This window comes from Homo sapiens, chromosome 2 (assembly GCF_000001405.40).
Source record: "Homo sapiens chromosome 2, GRCh38.p14 Primary Assembly".
Classification (NCBI taxonomy): domain Eukaryota; kingdom Metazoa; phylum Chordata; class Mammalia; order Primates; family Hominidae; genus Homo; species Homo sapiens.
The window spans coordinates 297,682-315,807 of NC_000002.12; the positions used below are offsets into that span (position 1 = coordinate 297,682).

Below are 18,126 nucleotides of genomic sequence, written 5' to 3' on the forward strand. Positions count from 1 at the left end.
TCAGGTTCATCCATGTTGTTGCACATGACAGGATTTTCTTCTTTTTAAGGCTGAGTAGTATTCCAGTGTGTATTTAGCCACATTTCCTCTGTATTCACCTGCTGTTGCTGTCAACTTGGATTGAATCCGCATCGTGGCTATTGTGAATAGTGCTGCAATAATCGCGGGGTGCAAACATCCCTTCCATATTGTGATTTCCCTCCCCTTTGATAAATATTCAGTAGGAGGATTGTTGGATCATATGGAGGCTCTGTTCTCAGTTTTAGCTTTTTAGTGGCTGTACCAGTTTACACTCCCACCAGTCATGTGTAAGAGTTAAGGAAAGGCTTTGAGTCAGAGAAGACCAGCCAGGGCAGCTGATTTTGATTCCTACTCCGACACTCATTGTGGCCACAGCCAGTCCCTGAGGCTCTGGGGTTTTAATCTCCTCATGAGCAAAGTGGGGCTGCTCTCCCTTTCTTTATAGTGTGTAGGTCTTTTTAAAGTATTGAATAAATTAGTAAATATAAACTTTCTCTATAAACTAAGCAGCTGGCTATGTTTTTTTTTCATACTGTTCATAATTTAGTTGACTTTGACCAAATACATTCCTGGTTTTCCTTTAAGAATCCTATGTCTCGGGGACTGTGTTTATGTGGTAACATTTTGTGTTTTTGTTGTCTTAGAACCTGTCATGGTGAAGTAGCGATTACAACTTCATTCAGAGTGTCACAATGCATATGCCACCACTCAGGAATTTGGGTCCCATTTAGTTGTCATCTCTGCTTTCACAGAATCTGGGGCCCCCATCAGTAGTGACTCCCAGGCTGTGCTGCTGAATGGACAGAAATCAATACAATACATCAGATGTAGTTCATGTATTTCTCTCTATATATGTTCAAATGGAAATTCACCTTTCTTTACAGTTTTGAGGGAGCATTGGCAGTATTTCTGCTGTGCTGACACCATCAACAGGCCTGGCTTTCAGCGGCGCAGTCCCTCCCCCAGCTCGCAGGTTTAAAACTTCTGTCATTGACATGATTGTATATTTAGAAAACCCCATAGTCTCAGCCCAAAATCTCCTTAAGCTGATAGCAACTTCAGCAGTCTCAGGATACAAAATCAATGTGCAAAAATCACAAGCATTCCTATACACCAATAACAGACAAACAGAGAGCCGAATCATGAGTGAACTCCCATTCACAACTGGCACAAAGAGAATAAAATACCTAGGAATCCAACTTACAAGGGATGTGAAGGACCTCTTCAAGGAGAACTACAAACCATTGCTCAACAACAAAAAAAAGAGGACACAAACAAATGGAAGAATATTTCATGCTCATGTTATGTTAGAAAGAATCAATATCATGAAAATAGCCATACTGCCCAAAGTAATTTATAGATTCAGTGCTATCCTCACCAAGCTACCATTGACTTTCTTCAAAGAATAGGAAAAAACTAATTTAAATTTCATATGGAACCAAAAAGGAGCCCGCATGGGCAAGACAATCCTAAGCAAAAAGAACAAAGCTGGAGGCATCATGTTACCTGACTTCAAACTATACTACAAGGCTACAGTAACCAAAACAGTATGGTACTGGTACCAATAGTTTTGATACTGGTACCAAAACAGATATATAGACCAATGGAACAGAACAGAGGCCTCAGAAATAACACCACACATCTACAACCATCTGATCTTTGACAAACCTGACAAAAACAAGCAATGGGAAAAGGATTTATTAAATAGGGAAAAGGATTCCCTATTTAATAAATGGTGCTGGGGAAACTAGCTAGCCATATGTAGAAAGCTGAAACTAGACCCCTTCCTTACACCTTATACAAAAATTAACTCAAGATGGATTAAAGACTTAAATGTAAGACCTAAAACCATAAAAACCTTAGAAGAAAACCGAGGCAATACCATTCAGTTCATAGGCATGGGCAAAGACTTCATGATTAAAACACCAAAAGCAATGGCAACAAAAGCCAAAATAGACAAATGGGATCTAGTTAAACTAAAGAGCTTCTGCACAGCAAAAGAAACTATCAGCAGAGTGAACAGGCAACCTACAGAATGGGAGAAAATTTTTGCAATCTATTCATCTGACAAAGGGCTAATATCCAGAATCAACAAAGAACTTAAACAAATTTACAAGAAAAAAACAACCCCATCAAAAAGTGGGCAAAGTATATGAACAGACACTTCTCAAAAGAAGACATTTATGCAGCCAACAGGCATATGAAAAAATGCTCATCATCACTGGTCATTAGGGAAATGCAAATCAAAACCACAATGAAATACCATCTCATGCCAGTTAGAATGGTGATCATTAAAAAGTCAGGAAGCAACAGATGCTGGAGAGGATGTGGAAAAATAGGAATGCTTTTACACTGTTGGTGGGAGTGTAAATTATTCAACCATTATGGAAGACAGTGTGGCGATTCCTCAAGGATCTGGAACTAGAAATACCATTTGACCCAGCAATCCCATTACTGGGTATATACCCAAATGATTATAAATCATGCTACTATAAAGACACATGCACATGTATGTTTATTGTGACACTATTGACAATAGCAAAGACTTGAAACCAACCCAAATGTCCATCAATAATAGACTGCATAAAGAAAATGTGGCACATATACACCATGGAATATTATGCAGCCATAAAAAAGGACGAGTTCATGTCCTTTGCAAGAACATGGATGAAGCTGGAAACCATCATTCTCAGCAAACTATCACAAGGACAGAAAACCACACACCTCATGTTCTCACTCACTGCATGTTCTCGCTCATAAGTGGGAGTTGAACAATGAGAACACATGGACAGAGGGAGGAGAACATCACACACTGGGGCCTGTCGGGGGTGGTGGGAGGCTGGGGGAGGGATAACATTAGGAGAAATACCTAATGTAAATGATGAGTTGATGGGTGCAGGAAACCAACATGGCACATGTACACCTATGTAACAAACCTGCACGTTGTGCGCATGTACCCCAGAACTTAAAGTGTAATAAAAAAAGTCAACCTCATGAAAGACATAAATAAATAAATAAAACCTCCATCAGTGTGTGCATTGTCACCACCCATATCCTCTTAGATGCTCAGAAAATATTCATTTTATATCTACCTTTTTTCCCCATCTATGAACGAATTACCACAATAATATGGCAGCTATTATGCCCTTTGATCCTTTTCAAAGCCTTTCAGAAGATGTGCAGTGGCCTGAGGATCTCCTGGTTCCTGCTGTCTGCACATTGACGCTGGGCTCCTGAGTGGGACATGACATGCCCTCGTTAGGAGTTAACCTTCCTTGCCGTGCTGACGTACGACAGGTGCTCACCGTTTCCCACATCTTGCCTTATTGTGCTTCACAGACAGTGTCCCTCTAACAAATCAAGGGCTTGTGGCCACCCTGCATCCAGTGAGTCCATCAGCACCATTTGTCCACAGCATGTGCTCACTTCACATCTCTGTGTCACATTTTGGGAATTCTTGCAATATTTCAAACGTTTTCATTTTTATTATGTGTGTTATGGTGATCTATGATCAGTGATCTTTGATGTTACTATTGTAACTGTTTTGGGGCACAATGAACTATGCCCATATAAGATTGCGAATTTAACTGATAAATGTTGTGTGTGTTCTGATTGCTCCAATGAATAACCATTTCCTTGTCTCTCTCCCCTCTCTTCAGGCCTCCTGATTCCCACAAACACAGCAAGATTAAGATTAGGTCATTTTTCTTTTCTTTTTCTTTTTCTTTTTTTTTTTTTTTTTTTTTTTTTTTTTTGACTGAGTCTTGCTCTGTCATCCAGGATAGAGTGCAGTGGCACAATCTTGGCTCACTGCAACCTCCAACTCCCAGGTTCAAGTGATTCTCCTACATCAGCCTCCCAAGTAGCTGGGATTACAGGCATGTACCACCCTGCCCAACCAATTTTTGTATTTTTAGTAGAGACAGGGTTTCACTATGTTGGCCAGGCTGGTTTCGAACTCCTGACGTCAAGCAATCCACCCGCCTATGCCTCCCAAAGTGCTGGGGTTACAGGCATGAGCTACCACACCCAGCCTAAGATTAGGCCAATTGATAACCCTGCAATGACCTCTAAATATTTCGGTGGAAGGAAGAGTCTTATGTCTGTCACTTTAAATCATAAGCTAGAAATGATTAAGCTTAGTGAGGAAGGCAGGTCAAAAGCCAAGATAGGTTCAGAGCTGGGCTTCTTGCACCAGTTAGCTAAGTTGTGAGTGCAAGGAAAAGTTCTTGAAAGAGATTGAGAGTGCTACTCCAGTGAACACATGAATGGCAAGAAAGCAAAACAGCCGGATTACTGCTATGGGGAAAGTTTGAGTGGCCTGGACAGAAGATCAAACCAGCCACAACACTCCCTTCAGCCAAAGCCTCATCCAGAGCAAGGCCTCTAATTCTTTTCATTTCTGTGAAGGCTGAGAGAGGTGAAGAAGCTGCATAAGGAAGGTGTGGAACTAGCAGAGGTTTATTCCTGAGGTTTAAGGAAAGAAGCAAGAAACCATCTCTATAACATAGAAGTGCAAGGTGAAGGAGCAAGTGCTGATGGAGAAGCTGCAGCAAGTTCTCCAGAGGATCCAGCTGAGATCACTGATGAAGGTAGTGATGCTAAACAACAGATTTCTCATATGGACAAAACAATCTTCTATTGGAAGAAGATGCCATCTAGGACTTTCATAGCTAGGGAGGAGAAGTCAATGCCTGGCTTCAAAGCTTAAAGGAAAGATTGCCTCTCTTGTTAGGGGTTAACAGAGTTGGTGACTTTAAGTTGAAGCCTGTGAAGATTTACCATTCCCAAAATCTCAGGGCCTGTAAGAATGATGCTAAGTCTGCTCTGCCTGTGCTTTATAAATAAAACGACACACCTGATGACAGCTCTTCTGCTTACAGCATGGTTTAGTGAGTATTTTCAGCCTACTGTTGAGATCTACTGCTGAGACAGAAAGATTCCTTTCAAACTATTAATGCTCATTGACAATGCACCTGGTCCCTCATGAGCTCTGATGGGGATGTACAAGAAGACAGACATTTTTTTCATGCCTACTAAGACAACGTCCACTCTGCAGTCCATGGATCAAGGAGCAATTTTGACTTTCAAGTCTTATTATTTAAGAAATATATTTTACTAGGCCATGTCTACCATAGATAGTTGTTCCTCTGATGGAGCTGGGCAAAGTAAATTGAAAACCTTCTGGAAAGAATTCACCATTCTAGATGCCATTCAGAACATTTATGATTCATGTGAGGAGGTCAAAATATCAACATGAACAAGACTTTGGAAGAAGTTGGTTCTAACTTTCATGGGTGATTTTGAGGGGTTCAAGACTTCAATGGAAGAAGTAACCAGATGTTATGAAAATAGCAAGAGAACTAGAATTAGAAGTGGAGCCTGAAGATGGAACTGAATTGCTTCAATCTCATGATAGAACTTTAACTGGTGATCGGTTGCTTCTTATGGATGTGCAGAGAACCTGGTTTCTTGGGGTAGAATGTGCTTCTGGTGAAGATGCTGTGAACATTGTTGAAATGATCACCAAGGATTTAGAGTATTTTATAACCTTAGTTGATAAAGCAGTGGCAGGGTTTTGAGAGCATGGACTCCAATTTTGAAATAAGTTCTACTCTGGGTAAAATTATATCAACCAGAATCACATGCTACCGAGAAATCGTCTATGAAAAAAGAAAAAGAGTCGATCTATGCAACAGACTTTATTCTTGTCTTATTTTCAGAAATTGCCACCACCACCCCAACCACCCGGATCATTCATCAGCCATCTACGTGGAGGAGACCTCCACCAGCAAAAAGATTATGACTCACTGAAGGCATTGTTAGCATTTTTAGCAATACATTTTAAAATTAATGTTTATACTTTTTTTAGACATAATACTATTGTGTACTTAATAGACCACATTATAGTGTAAATATCACTTTTGTATGCATTGGGAAACCAAAGTATTTGGGTGACTTATGTTATTGCTATATCTCTTTATTGGGATGACCTGGAACTGAGCCTGCACAATCTCCAAGGTGAGCCTGGATATTGCTTTTATTTTATATGTAATCATTATTTCACATTAAAAAATAGACATTAGAAAATTTTCATACTACGAATAATAATGGTCAGCTCTAGCATCATTACATTGAGATTTGAACAATATCTGGCATGAGTGGGGTGTTGACAGATGGCAGTGAGTGATTATTGCTTTCCCCAAAGTGGGAACATTTAAGTTGGAGAAGAGATTCCACCTTTAAAAGGGACATTTTATTGTAAAGCCTGTATCTTTAAATTGATATAACTTTACTAAGATTAAGATATATTTTAACTGCTTGGCACATTTTAGTAATTGATCTTATATTGCATTTATATTATAAAATAGTATTTGTATAGCAGAAAGTAAATGTGGCTTGCACTATTCAGCACCTTTGATACTGATTTCTTTAGGTAGGGCCCTTACTCAATGCCACCAATAACCATGACATTAACGCAGATGTGGCCAATCCAGTGAAGGTCCAGACTGAAATGACACCTGGCACTGAAGGGTGTCATGTTAAAGCCATTTCTAGTTGAAGTATTAAAAATAAACAGTTCTCAAGGGACTGTTTTTGCCAAAATTAGTTGATGGCTGTTTAAAATGGTTGACAGCTCTTCTTAATGCTTGTGATTTGTCCTTATTCAAACCTTAATGAATGTTTCTAATGGTGAGTTTCATGTGCATAAAAACATAGGAAGAAGTTCCGTTCTTATTGTCAGCAGATTGCAATCACAGAGTCATAGACAAAAGTGGAAACAAATTTATAAAACTCTAAAGTTGTAGCTTTCATTGGGCCCAGCTTATTTCCTATATTAGTATAACTTGTATGTACAAGAAGGGAAAGAGCTCATTACATTTTTGGCTTTTATTTGAACCCTTATGATTAACAGATTTATGAAAAATAGTCCCATATGCAAGGGTTTAGTAATTATAATTTCCTCCTTCTTTTAAAATGCAGTCAGTTCTGAGAAACTGTTATATACAATACCATTGTCTATGCCACATGAGGCAAGAGCATTTGGACGTAAAATGAAACACAGGATTCATCATCCTGATGCTTCCCAGTGTTTGGTGCCCCTGAGAAATCCCTCCTGAGCGACTGGCTGGACCCTTTACAAAGCATTTCTCCAGAGTTGACCCTGAAGACATGCTCATAATTACTTATGTGTGTCCCTGAGAAATGTAGGTGAAATTTAAGTTGAATTGAACCTCACATGTGCTAAGGATGTTTGTTATTTAAAGAACCTGTTGTCTATTTATTTTTAAAGAAATCAGCACTTCGTAAGGAAAATCACTATTCATTATTTCTTGGGTACATCTAAATTTTTTCTTTATGTCACTGTGTAGAAATGGAGTTTCAAAAGCATTTGTGGGTGTTTCAGAATTATTTTGATTATTCTCGTACATTTTTACTTTATTTTACAGTAGTTATTTTAGTATTAATATTTAAGTTTTAATGGCTACATAAGAACATTAGGACAAAGAGATGTTTACTGCTCTGAGATTTTACATTTCCAAGCCTCATTAATTCCAAGCAGACTTTAGCTAAACTTGACCTAGCGCTTTGGAAAAATAGGTAAAAGTGTACTGTAACTCCTTTTTGTTATTCAGGAAACACGCATTGTTATAATCCTCACCATCATCATTACTTTCTACAAAACATTTGAGGGTCGAAGAGAGACTCCGTTCACATTACATAAGTAATCATTGTCTTTGTATATACGTTGTCCTTTCCAAAAGTGGTGGCATATATCGATCTCATCAAATAAAAAGTCTCGAACAGATCTAAGCCAATACACACACAGGCACACACACAGAAACACACATGTACAGACACATACACACATGTGCACACATAGAAACATACATGCACAGAGACAAACACAGGCACACACGTGCACACACAAATGCACACACACGTACACACCCTGATTTCTTTCACATTCAACATCTGACTTAGAGGCTGTTCATTTCTTGAGACGATTTCTACAATTTTAGTGTCTGTCCCTGGTGCTGGCGATGCCATTTGGGACCTTAACCCTCAAAGTCGGGTTCAGAGTCAGCTTGACACCCTCGGGAGCTTCTCTGCCCTCAACTTCCACCACACACAGATTTAGTGAATCAGAAACTAGCTTTTAGTAAGATCCCCAGGTGATTCGTGTGTACACTGAAGGTTAGCAGCACGAATTTAGATGATTTCAAATAGTGGCTGTTGATTTCTGGGTATGATAAAGATTTAGCTCCTGCACCATTCACCCCTGCACCCTCCCAGGGCCAAATGCAATTCTTTCTTCATTCTTTGCTTCAGTGAGGTTCTCTTGGAAATTTCACAATTCACACACCTTGACCTTCATATTCATGACAGGCAAGGTCACCTGACCTTCCACTCTGTTTACTCTCTTTTCTTCTCACATTTCTGCATCTGGATTTCCATATTCTTATTTTCAAAGTTGAAAACAATATATTCTGTTTAAACCATGGATAAGTCTATCATACTCAGGCCATAGTTGATCTGAAAGTTGAAATGGAAAGATTTAGCAATGATTTTGGTGACAAGTAACAGGAAATTCAAAGGTGGCTTAAAGTAGACATGTATAAAGCACATGTGTCTAATACACGCAGGTAGCGAGGAGGCCGGGGTGTTAATACACACAATAGTGAGCAGGCCGGGGTGTTAATACACACACAGTTGGTGAGAAAGCCGGGGTGTTAATACACCCACAGGTAATGAGGAGGCCGGCGTGTTAATACACACACAGGTAGTGAGGAGGCCGGCGTGTTAATACACACACAGGCAGCGAGGAGGCCGGGGTGTTAATACACACACAGGTAGCGAGGAGGCCGGGGTGTTAATACACACACAGGTAGCGAGGAGGCCGGGGTGTTAATACACACACAGGTAGTGAGGAGGCCGGGGCATTAATACACACACAGGTAGTGAGGAGGCCGGCGTGTTAATACACAGGTAGCGAGGAGGCCGGGGTGTTAATACACACACAGGTAGCGAGGAGGCCGGGGTGTTAATACACACACAGGCAGCGAGGAGGCCGGGGTGTTAATACACACACAGGTAGTGAGGAGGCCGGCGTGTTAATACACACACAGGTAGTGAGGAGGCCGGGGCGTTAATACACACACAGGTAGCGAGGAGGCCGGGGCGTTAATACACACACAGGTAGCGAGGAGGCCGGGGCGTTAATACACACACAGGTAGCGAGGAGGCCGGGGCGTTAATACACACACAGGTAGCGAGGAGGCCGGGGCGTTAATACACACACAGGTAGCGAGGAGGCCGGGGTGTTAATACACACACAGGCAGCGAGGAGGCCCGGGTGTCTAATACACACACAGGTAGCGAGGAGGCCGGGGCGTTAATACACACACAGGTAGCGAGGAGGCCGGCGTGTTAATACACACACAGGTAGTGAGGAGGCCGGCGTGTTAATACACACACAGGTAGTGAGGAGGCCGGGGTGTTAATACACACACAGGTAATGAGGAGGCCGGGGTGTTAATACACACACAGGTAGTGAGGAGGCCGGGGTGTTAATACACACACAGGTAGCGAGGAGGCCGGGGTGTTAATACACACACAGGTAGTGAGGAGGCCGGCGTGTTAATACACACACAGGTAGTGAGGAGGCCGGGGTGTTAATACACACACAGGTAATGAGGAGGCCGGGGTGTTAATACACACACAGGTAGTGAGGAGGCCGGCGTGTTAATACACACACAGGTAGTGAGGAGGCCGGCGTGTTAATACACACACAGGTAGTAAGGAGGTCGGGGTGTTAATACACACACAGGTAGTGAGGAGGCCGGGGTGTTAATACACACACAGGTAATGAGGAGGCCGGGGTGTTAATACACACACAGGTAGCGAGGAGGCCGGGGTGTTAATACACACACAGGTAATGAGGAGGCCGGGGTGTTAATACACACACAGGTAGCGAGGAGGCCGGGGTGTTAATACACACACAGGTAGCGAGGAGGCCGGGGTGTTAATACACACACAGGTAGCGAGGAGGCCGGCGTGTTAATACACACACAGGTAGTGAGGAGGCCGGCGTGTTAATACACACACAGGTAGTGAGGAGGCCGGGGTGTTAATACACACACAGGTAGTGAGGAGGCCGGGGTGTTAATACACACACAGGTAGCGAGGAGGCCGGGGTGTTAATACACACACAGGTAGTGAGGAGGCCGGGGTGTTAATACACACACAGGTAGCGAGGAGGCCGGCGTGTTAATACACACACAGGTAGTGAGGAGGCCGGGGTGTTAATACACACACAGGTAGTGAGGAGGCCGGCGTGTTAATACACACACAGGTAGTGAGGAGGCCGGGGTGTCTAATACACACACAGGTAGCGAGGAGGCCGGGGTGTTAATACACACACAGGTAGCGAGGAGGCCGGCGTGTTAATACACACACAGGTGAGTGAGGAGGCCGGCGTGTTAATACACACACAGGTAGTGAGGAGGCCGGGGTGTTAATACACACACAGGTAGCGAGGAGGCCGGCGTGTTAATACACACACAGGTAGTGAGGAGGCCGGCGTGTTAATACACACACAGGTAGTGAGGAGGCCGGGGTGTCTAATACACACACAGGTAGCGAGGAGGCCGGGGTGTTAATACACACACAGGTAGCGAGGAGGCCGGCGTGTTAATACACACACAGGTAGTGAGGAGGCCGGGGTGTTAATACACACACAGGTAGTGAGGAGGCCGGGGTGTTAATACACACACAGGTAGTGAGGAGGCCGGGGTGTTAATACACACACAGGTAGTGAGGAGGCCGGGGTGTTAATACACACACAGGTAGTGAGGAGGCCGGCGTGTTAATACACACACAGGTAGTGAGGAGGCCGGGGTGTCTAATACACACACAGGTAGCGAGGAGGCCGGGGTGTTAATACACACACAGGTAGCGAGGAGGCCGGCGTGTTAATACACACACAGGTAGTGAGGAGGCCGGCGTGTTAATACACACACAGGTAGTGAGGAGGCCGGCGTGTTAATACACACACAGGTAGCGAGGAGGCCGGGGCGTTAATACACACACAGGTAGCGAGGAGGCCGGGATGTTAATACACACACAGGTAGCGAGGAGGCCGGCGTGTTAATACACACACAGGGAGCGAGGAGGCCGGGGTGTTAATACACACACAGGGAGCGAGGAGGCCGGCGTGTTAATACACACACAGGTAGCGAGGAGGCCGGCGTGTTAATACACACACAGGTAGCGAGGAGGTCGGGGTGTCTGCTGCTGTTCCCATGGCCCCGCTGTGCTGCGGAACAGTCCCTCGAGGTAACAGGTTGGCTGCCTCACACTTGAGGTTTTGTTTTTCCAGCCCTCAGGTGGAGTCTTCATTATTCTTCTGTAGTTGGACCTGATCTGGCCACAGCTGGCATCCCCAGAACGTCCCTACACCGATTCTCCCGCTCAGGACTGGACATGTAGCGTGTGGCACTTCCAATCAAGGCCTCCACCAAGGCAGGTGTGACTTGCTGAAGGGCAGTTGGCTTCCCTTGAGGCTTGCAGGGCAGTGGACTGGCATAACCATGCCTGGTCCCCATGAGAGCACTTCACTTCATCTGAATTCCTGGAATGTGAGCTAAAAGCAGTAGGTGGGTGAGAGTTTTGTGAGGCGTTGAGGTCTGGCAGTAGGTGGTCTGTGGAAGAGAAGCGGTTTGTCTGCTGGCTCCTTTGTTGCCAGAATACTCAGGGGAGGGGCTGGTGATGTCGTCGTCTACAGAGTGGAGGGACAGGCTATAGGGAAACAGAGCTGTTGTAACACCCAGGGGCCCCACCCACTTCCAGACCAGAAGGGGTGAGGGAGGGAATGGCCAGGAGGGGTGATCTCCAGTGTGGAGACAGTGTGCTGGGGTGGCTCTCCAGGGAGCAGTGAGAACAGGCGGCAAGGTTTGGGGACCTGTTTAGCCCACAGGAGCGCCCCAGGGGATGTGGGCCTGACTGTGGTCACACAGCTGTTCAGCACACCTGCCTGCAGGTAGCCCTTGCCTCCTTACTCACCGAAGCCTAATTGTGAGGGTGGTCTTTGGGCAGCTGCACACACGATCTCTTATCACACAAATCAGAGCCACTTTAAAACCATTAAGACAAAAGCTAAACCCAGGGTGTATGAAGCAGAAAAACGTTGGGACTTGAATGAATTGTGGAGCTGCTGTTTCAGTCTGCCTTGCCTAATTGTGGGCTGCTGATTTTATGCAAAAGATAATTATTGATTTGGTCAAGCCACTGCAAGTTGGTTTTCTGGTACATATTACCAAACTCAACCCTAATATACACGAATTTAACCCATCAGTGAACCCACCGACTGCTCAATCAATTCATGTGACTTAGCGCTGCTGCTGCAAGTATGAATCTGGGTTACTGCCTGTGAAAATGACAACTTACTCTTATCTTTTCCATGAATATGAATCTGGGTTACTGCTTATGAAAATGACAACTACTCTTACATTTTCTGTCGTTCATCAAGGGCTGAGGCAGCTCCGCTTTACAGGCAGCAGGATTTCTTTGTGCTTGAAAGTCTTTGTGTAGGAATCTCCATTTGTTTCTCTTGTTGTCGAGTGAATTGATCTGATCCTAGAACTGCACCGGAACTAATGCCTGGGGTTGCAGGAGCTCCAGGAAGCCCCTGTCGGAACAGGGAGATGGCTCATTGGAACCAGGTCGCCAACCCTCGATGAATCTACAACAACTCTGCTTTTCTTTTTATATTGGGTTTCTGCCTAATATTATACCTAGGAAAAAAAAAGCGTTTCACTGCTTAAAAAAATATTCACTGATTTATTCTTATGCTCTCAGAGAAGTTAAATTACTTAAGATGGCACCTTTTACTAAGCAGCAGAATCAAGGCTTTTGTTTTTTATGCTGGCTTTTAAAGGTAACTATGCAAACAAGATGGTAAAAAGGCCTATTTTATAAAAGAAGGAGGCTGGGACAGCTGAGTGGATAACGATGCTTTTGGGGGACCAGCCGGGTAAAGATGGAGGAGGGGCCCAGGTGGTGTTTCTGGCCTTCCAGAAAAGCTGCAGAAGGAAAGGTGAAGTCCAGAGTCCCCACAGGTGAGCCCTGAAAGCTGTGAATGGGGCTCCGGAGCTTGAGCAGCTGAGAAGCCAAGGCTGCCAAACAGGAGTAAATTCACCCCACGGTGCCCACCATCAATGGGCCGTGAAGTGCATGAGTTTGAAATCGGCAGTCCATTGAACTGTCTTCTATGAACATAGTATTTTCTGAGTTTACTTCTTAATATAATCTATAAAATGCTTTGTTCCACTATGATCCCACCCATTTGAGAGAGGGCAACGTGCTGTCAGGTAAGGGTCTGTGCAATGGATTGTGAAGATAAAGTGATGCACAGGTGTGCAGTGTGGGGACGCAGACACCCTTAGCTCCTTCTGTTGCTATGGTGACCACTTGTTAACTTATCCTTCCTGTTAAATGAAGCTTTAATTAGCATTAAGTTCTACTCTTTCTGCTGACCATGAGACTTCGATCTGGGGATTTTACAGTCAGCCATTGCTCTGCTTAACGTAGCATGTCTTCCCCTCCTGAGTATTTTTTCCAGTGTATACAGTTACTTATTGTGCTGTGTCGGTGGCTGGCCTTCACAGAGATATGCCTAAGAGAACACAGCATGATATAGTATTTACTTTTGTATGTTGGTAAATAACACCAGTAACATGAAGAATACGTTTTCACTGTAAAAGAAACACAATTTGTATTTACATTGAGTACATCAGGACTCTCCCACCCATGGTCCCTGCGCCGGTCTCAACGCTGTTCCTGAGCAGCAGAGGCAGATGCAGTTCCCCTGCGTCTTCTCCGTCTCTCTCTTCCGCTCCTGTCTTGCCATGTCCCCGACCCCAACCACGAGCACTACGTCCTGAATCTTTTATATCTAGTTTAACAGAACAAAACTCATCTATTTTGCCCAAGCATTTCTTCTGCACATTCTAACTTATCCAGAGATCAGTATTTCTCCTTGTGACTCAGAATTTGATTGGAAATCCATGTTGAATGAGATTGACCGTTTAATTCAAGAACACGCCTCTGATGTACACGATTTTTCTCCTCTAGAGGCTAACATGTCTCCTTAAACAGTTTCATAAAAATATCAAAATAATAAAATGAAAAGGGCATTAATTAATCTCACTAATAATGGAGGTGGTGTAATTCTGTGGGTTTTACACAGTGAATGGATTCCCTTGGAAAGGTGATGATGTCAGAGGCTTGGGGCTGAGGCACTGCTTACTTCCCAATTTCATTAAGCATTTTGTTCTCATCAGAAATACTACCCACCTCGTAAAGGTGATGAGAGAATGGCAAGTTTTCCTTAAAGTGGATTAGAAATAGTCAATGTTAGTCTTAAGAATTGATCTGCTGTTACCTGTCAACACCGTCCACATCAGATCAAACATTAGAGCCCCAGGCCTGCGATTTAAAACCTCCACCTGAACAGGGAGTTAGATGACTCTACTTAACATCTACATATTTTAAATTAAATAATCATGACCCCCATCCTCCAGAGTGACTTGCTTTCCTGAGTTCCCAGGACTCTGTGCCTGGACGCGTTTGTTCGGCCTCTCCACTTACATTTATGTATTGTAATAGAAGTCTCATGGCTGTTAATGACCTGGATGTATTATAACCACAAAAGAAAGTATGCTTCCCAAAAGAGATTGTAAAAGTTATTTACATTTGTATCAAAGTTCTACCCACCCAAAGTGTTCTGCTGCCTTCAGCTCCACTGAGAGGGGGCCTGTGGTGCTGACGAACACCTTTAGCTGTGGTTTGGCAGCAAAGAGTCACAGTGATTTGTTGGCCTGATTTTTCTGCTATGCTGACATGCATGCAGCACTTGGCCAGTTGCTTTCTGTTGCCTGACATGTTTCCGACTATGAATACATATGAAATATTGGATAACTACATCCTTTTTGGGAAACCAGTGACTACAACCATCTTGAATGTATTTCAATCATATTAAGTGGTCTATGATTTCCATAAAGTAAAGAAGATTTCACTGGAGTTGAATTTCTAAGTTTACTGTACACTGTGGTGCTGGACTGTTGTTACAGAGGCTGTTAACTATTGTTGACTTCTCTCCCAGCTCTCAGGCTTTCCCCATGCAGCGGGTAGGCTTATGACCTCCCCCACCCAGGATAGCCCCCAAGGAGGGGCCGTGAGCAGAGACCCACCTTGTGGGAAGGGACAGGAGAAGTGTCCAGTTCCTCGACAGCAGAGAAGGGGCTGCCTCACAGCTGCCACGCGTCCCTGGGCCCTCAGGGAAGCCATTGCGTTCTTGATGCAAAGTTTAGAGGCTGACTCTGGCTTTCTTGGAGATGTTCCTGACAACTTTTACCTTTAGTTGAGTTTCATTTCTAAGTAGAGTCTATTTTCTTGTTTGTAAATAGGCACAAAGAATGTTAGTTCCTTTATGTTAAGAAGGCAACATATGTTTATAGCATGCCTTCTATATAGAACACCCTAGCATATTTTGCAAAATGTGCTGTCAACTCCTAGCATCAGAAAAAACTGGGAGCTCTTACAATGCGGATTTCTAGGCTTGCTTGGGACAGTTGCATCAAACTGCCAAAGGCCCAGAGCCCTTTATGTTTTAAACAAGCATGCTGGGTATGTCCTATGCAAACTAAAAATGATACCAGAGAGAGTAAGACATTGTTCCTATAGCAGTGGGATCCTATTCAGTAGGGAAGGGGTGTGTGTGTGTGTGTGTGTGTGTGTGTGTGTGTGTGTGTCCTGAGAGAGAATGAAAGAATAAGTAGGGAAGGGGTGTGTGTGTGTGTGTGTGTGTGTGTGTGTCCTGAGAGAGAATGAAAGAATAAGTAGGGAAGGGGTGTGTGTGCGTGTGTGTGTCCTGAGAGAGAATGAAAGAATAAGTAGGGAAGGGGTGTGTGTGTGTGTGTGTGTGTCCTGAGAGAGAATGAAAGAATAAGTAGGGAAGGGGTGTGTGTGTGTGTGTGTGTACTGAGAGAGAATGAAAGAATAAGAGGAGAGAGAATTGTTCACAGCAGTGTTAAAACATACTTAGAAAAACAAATGAGGTGGTTAAGTGGCTTTGGTTTAAGATGGCCAGGTGAACACACATACTTACCTTTTTTCTCGCTGATTTGCTATGAAATGATAGTTGGAAAATACATTTAGAAGAAATCTCCAAAACACAGAGAATGTGATATTTTCTCACATGCCTGGGAGATGGTGGGGTGGGGTGGCTGGGCCATGCGGGTCCCCTGGTCTCAGAGAGACTTCAGCTTGTCCATGGCAGAACCAGGAGGGTGGGAGGGGGCAGGAGTGAGAAGCAGGCTCAGAACGTGACCTGAGCAAGGTCTGTGGACAAACGCATTCGCTGTCCCCACCCCTACCCCCACCCCCGGGGCTGCAGCAAAGCCCTGACTACTGGGCAGGAATGCCTGGGGCTTTCCCGCAGGGAAAGCGGTGAAGCGGGCAGGGCGAGCTGGAGCACCTGTGTGGCATCATCAGCTCCAGCCTGAAGTTGGTCTTGTGGTGGTGTTTTCGTTGCTGCCTTCATCTGATAGCCCTGAAGAAAGTGGCGGCCTCTGGGAGGCGAACGGGGAGGCCTCAGTGGCCAGGGGCTCGGCTTTGTGACCCATGCAGGAGATAGAACTTAGGCTCAGAACAGGAATAGGCATTGTCCTATCGAGACGATTCTATCAGAGTAGATGGAAAAGCTGCAAAGTGGGTGACACAGACTCAAAATTTGGAGCGGATGAGGGGCAGGAGCAGCTCACTGATTGGGCCCCGACTTTCCCAGGTGTCTACACTGCTAGAGCTACGCTCACAGCTGCGGACGTGCACGCGCTGCCAGCAACTGCACCGAGCACTCAGCGCACACCTGCTCCCACGCGCCACGCACTCGTGCAGGTGCCGGGAGCTCCGTCGTCAGCAGCCAGAGGAAAGCCCTGTTCTCGTGGAACCTCCATCCTAGCGAGGACAGAATGAGGACGCACAAATCAAATCGAGTCCACAGCGTGTCAGGTGACAACATGCTGAGGAGAAACGCAGAGCCAGACGAGGGGCAGGCAGAAGGGCGGGCGTTTGTGACCCGAGGCCGGGCGCGGGCCCCGCCGCAGGGCTGTGAGGCCGCCGTGGGACTGGTTCCACCGACACTGGAGGCCAGGCGTGGGCCCTCCGTAAAGTCCCCCGTGTGGGATTACGGGACAGGCGGCGGAACCCCAGTTTAACCCTGGGTGTGTTTGGGCACGCAGCCATGCCGACTAGAAGGACCTGAGATGGATTCGGTTCGCGGGGAACGGAGGTGCCCTAGCTCCCGTTCACGACCGCATCTTAAAAAGCAAAGTGAGCCAGTTTTTCGCAAAGATGATTTCACTGGATTTCCGCGTTTAGCGTCACGATATGGGGGCCTCCGAGCGCCTCTCTGGGCTTCCACACAATGGGCCACATCACGTTTCTGACCAGAGAAACACAGGTATCTGTGCTTGTAAACATCTGGAATTTAATTCGGTGGAAAAAATAACTTGTGGGGAGGGTGATACACATCTAGGTCTGTGTTCAGCTTGGGGGCTTGCCAGCCAGTGGCTTTTTTATCGTCTTTAATCCTGGGAGAGTTGTTACTGAAAGAGGTAGCATTTAGTGCAGCTCACAAATGCGTAACAATCCCCCACTTCAGTGAATCCAAAGAAAACACAGAGATTACAAAGCACCGTTTGAGGCCGGGATCAGGAGGCAACCAAGACAAATAGGTTTCTGTCCATTTGGACAGGAGCTTTGGGGGCTCGCCTGTACTTCCTCTCTCACTGGCTTTAGGTGACTAAACCTTGGGGCTATTCTGTCACTGCTGTGTAGAGCTGGCATCGAGGTCGAACCTGTTTCTTCTTCGAAATCTCTTGAAACAACTGCTGCTGACTGGGAAGGTACGGAGAGGCTTGGCTGCAGTGAGTGAAAGGCTGTCTCTCTTGACGGTGTGGCTCTGTTCCCCAAGTTGAAAACATTGAGGCGTCTGTCTGCAGCCCAGACACCTGCTGGGGGTCCCTCACCACCGTGGCCAGA

General features: G+C 45.0%; 1 long non-coding RNA gene across 26 annotated transcripts in view, besides 2 other annotated features; it reads right to left on the bottom strand.

Moving 5' to 3' along the window:
* The window catches only part of LOC105373346 (uncharacterized), a 23,435-nt gene extending 6,741 nt beyond the window's left edge, over positions 1-16,694 (bottom strand). The window contains exons 1-6 of one of the 26 annotated variants that reach the window (NR_189069.1): positions 16,562-16,694; positions 15,276-15,476; positions 13,807-13,978; positions 12,534-12,712; positions 11,289-11,668; positions 8,390-8,559 (exon numbers count right to left, since the gene is read on the bottom strand). This is a non-coding gene — a long non-coding RNA (uncharacterized LOC105373346). Of the gene's footprint in view, positions 1-6,903; positions 8,560-11,288; positions 11,727-12,533; positions 12,819-13,806; positions 13,979-15,275; positions 15,477-16,192; positions 16,212-16,561 lie in introns of those variants that run through there. The other 25 variants (NR_189070.1, NR_189083.1, NR_189078.1 and 22 more) reach the window with 25 other exon arrangements.
* Positions 11,686-12,578: an enhancer, noted in NCBI's record as "NANOG-H3K27ac-H3K4me1 hESC enhancer chr2:309367-310259 (GRCh37/hg19 assembly coordinates)". NCBI's record gives its function as "activates a minimal SCP1, AML or CMV promoter by ChIP-STARR-seq in naive H9 embryonic stem cells {active_cell/tissue: H9 hESC(naive)}" and the evidence as "EXISTENCE:reporter gene assay evidence [ECO:0000049][PMID:30033119]".
* Positions 16,994-17,563: an enhancer, noted in NCBI's record as "H3K27ac-H3K4me1 hESC enhancer chr2:314675-315244 (GRCh37/hg19 assembly coordinates)". NCBI's record gives its function as "activates a minimal SCP1, AML or CMV promoter by ChIP-STARR-seq in primed H9 embryonic stem cells {active_cell/tissue: H9 hESC(primed)}" and the evidence as "EXISTENCE:reporter gene assay evidence [ECO:0000049][PMID:30033119]".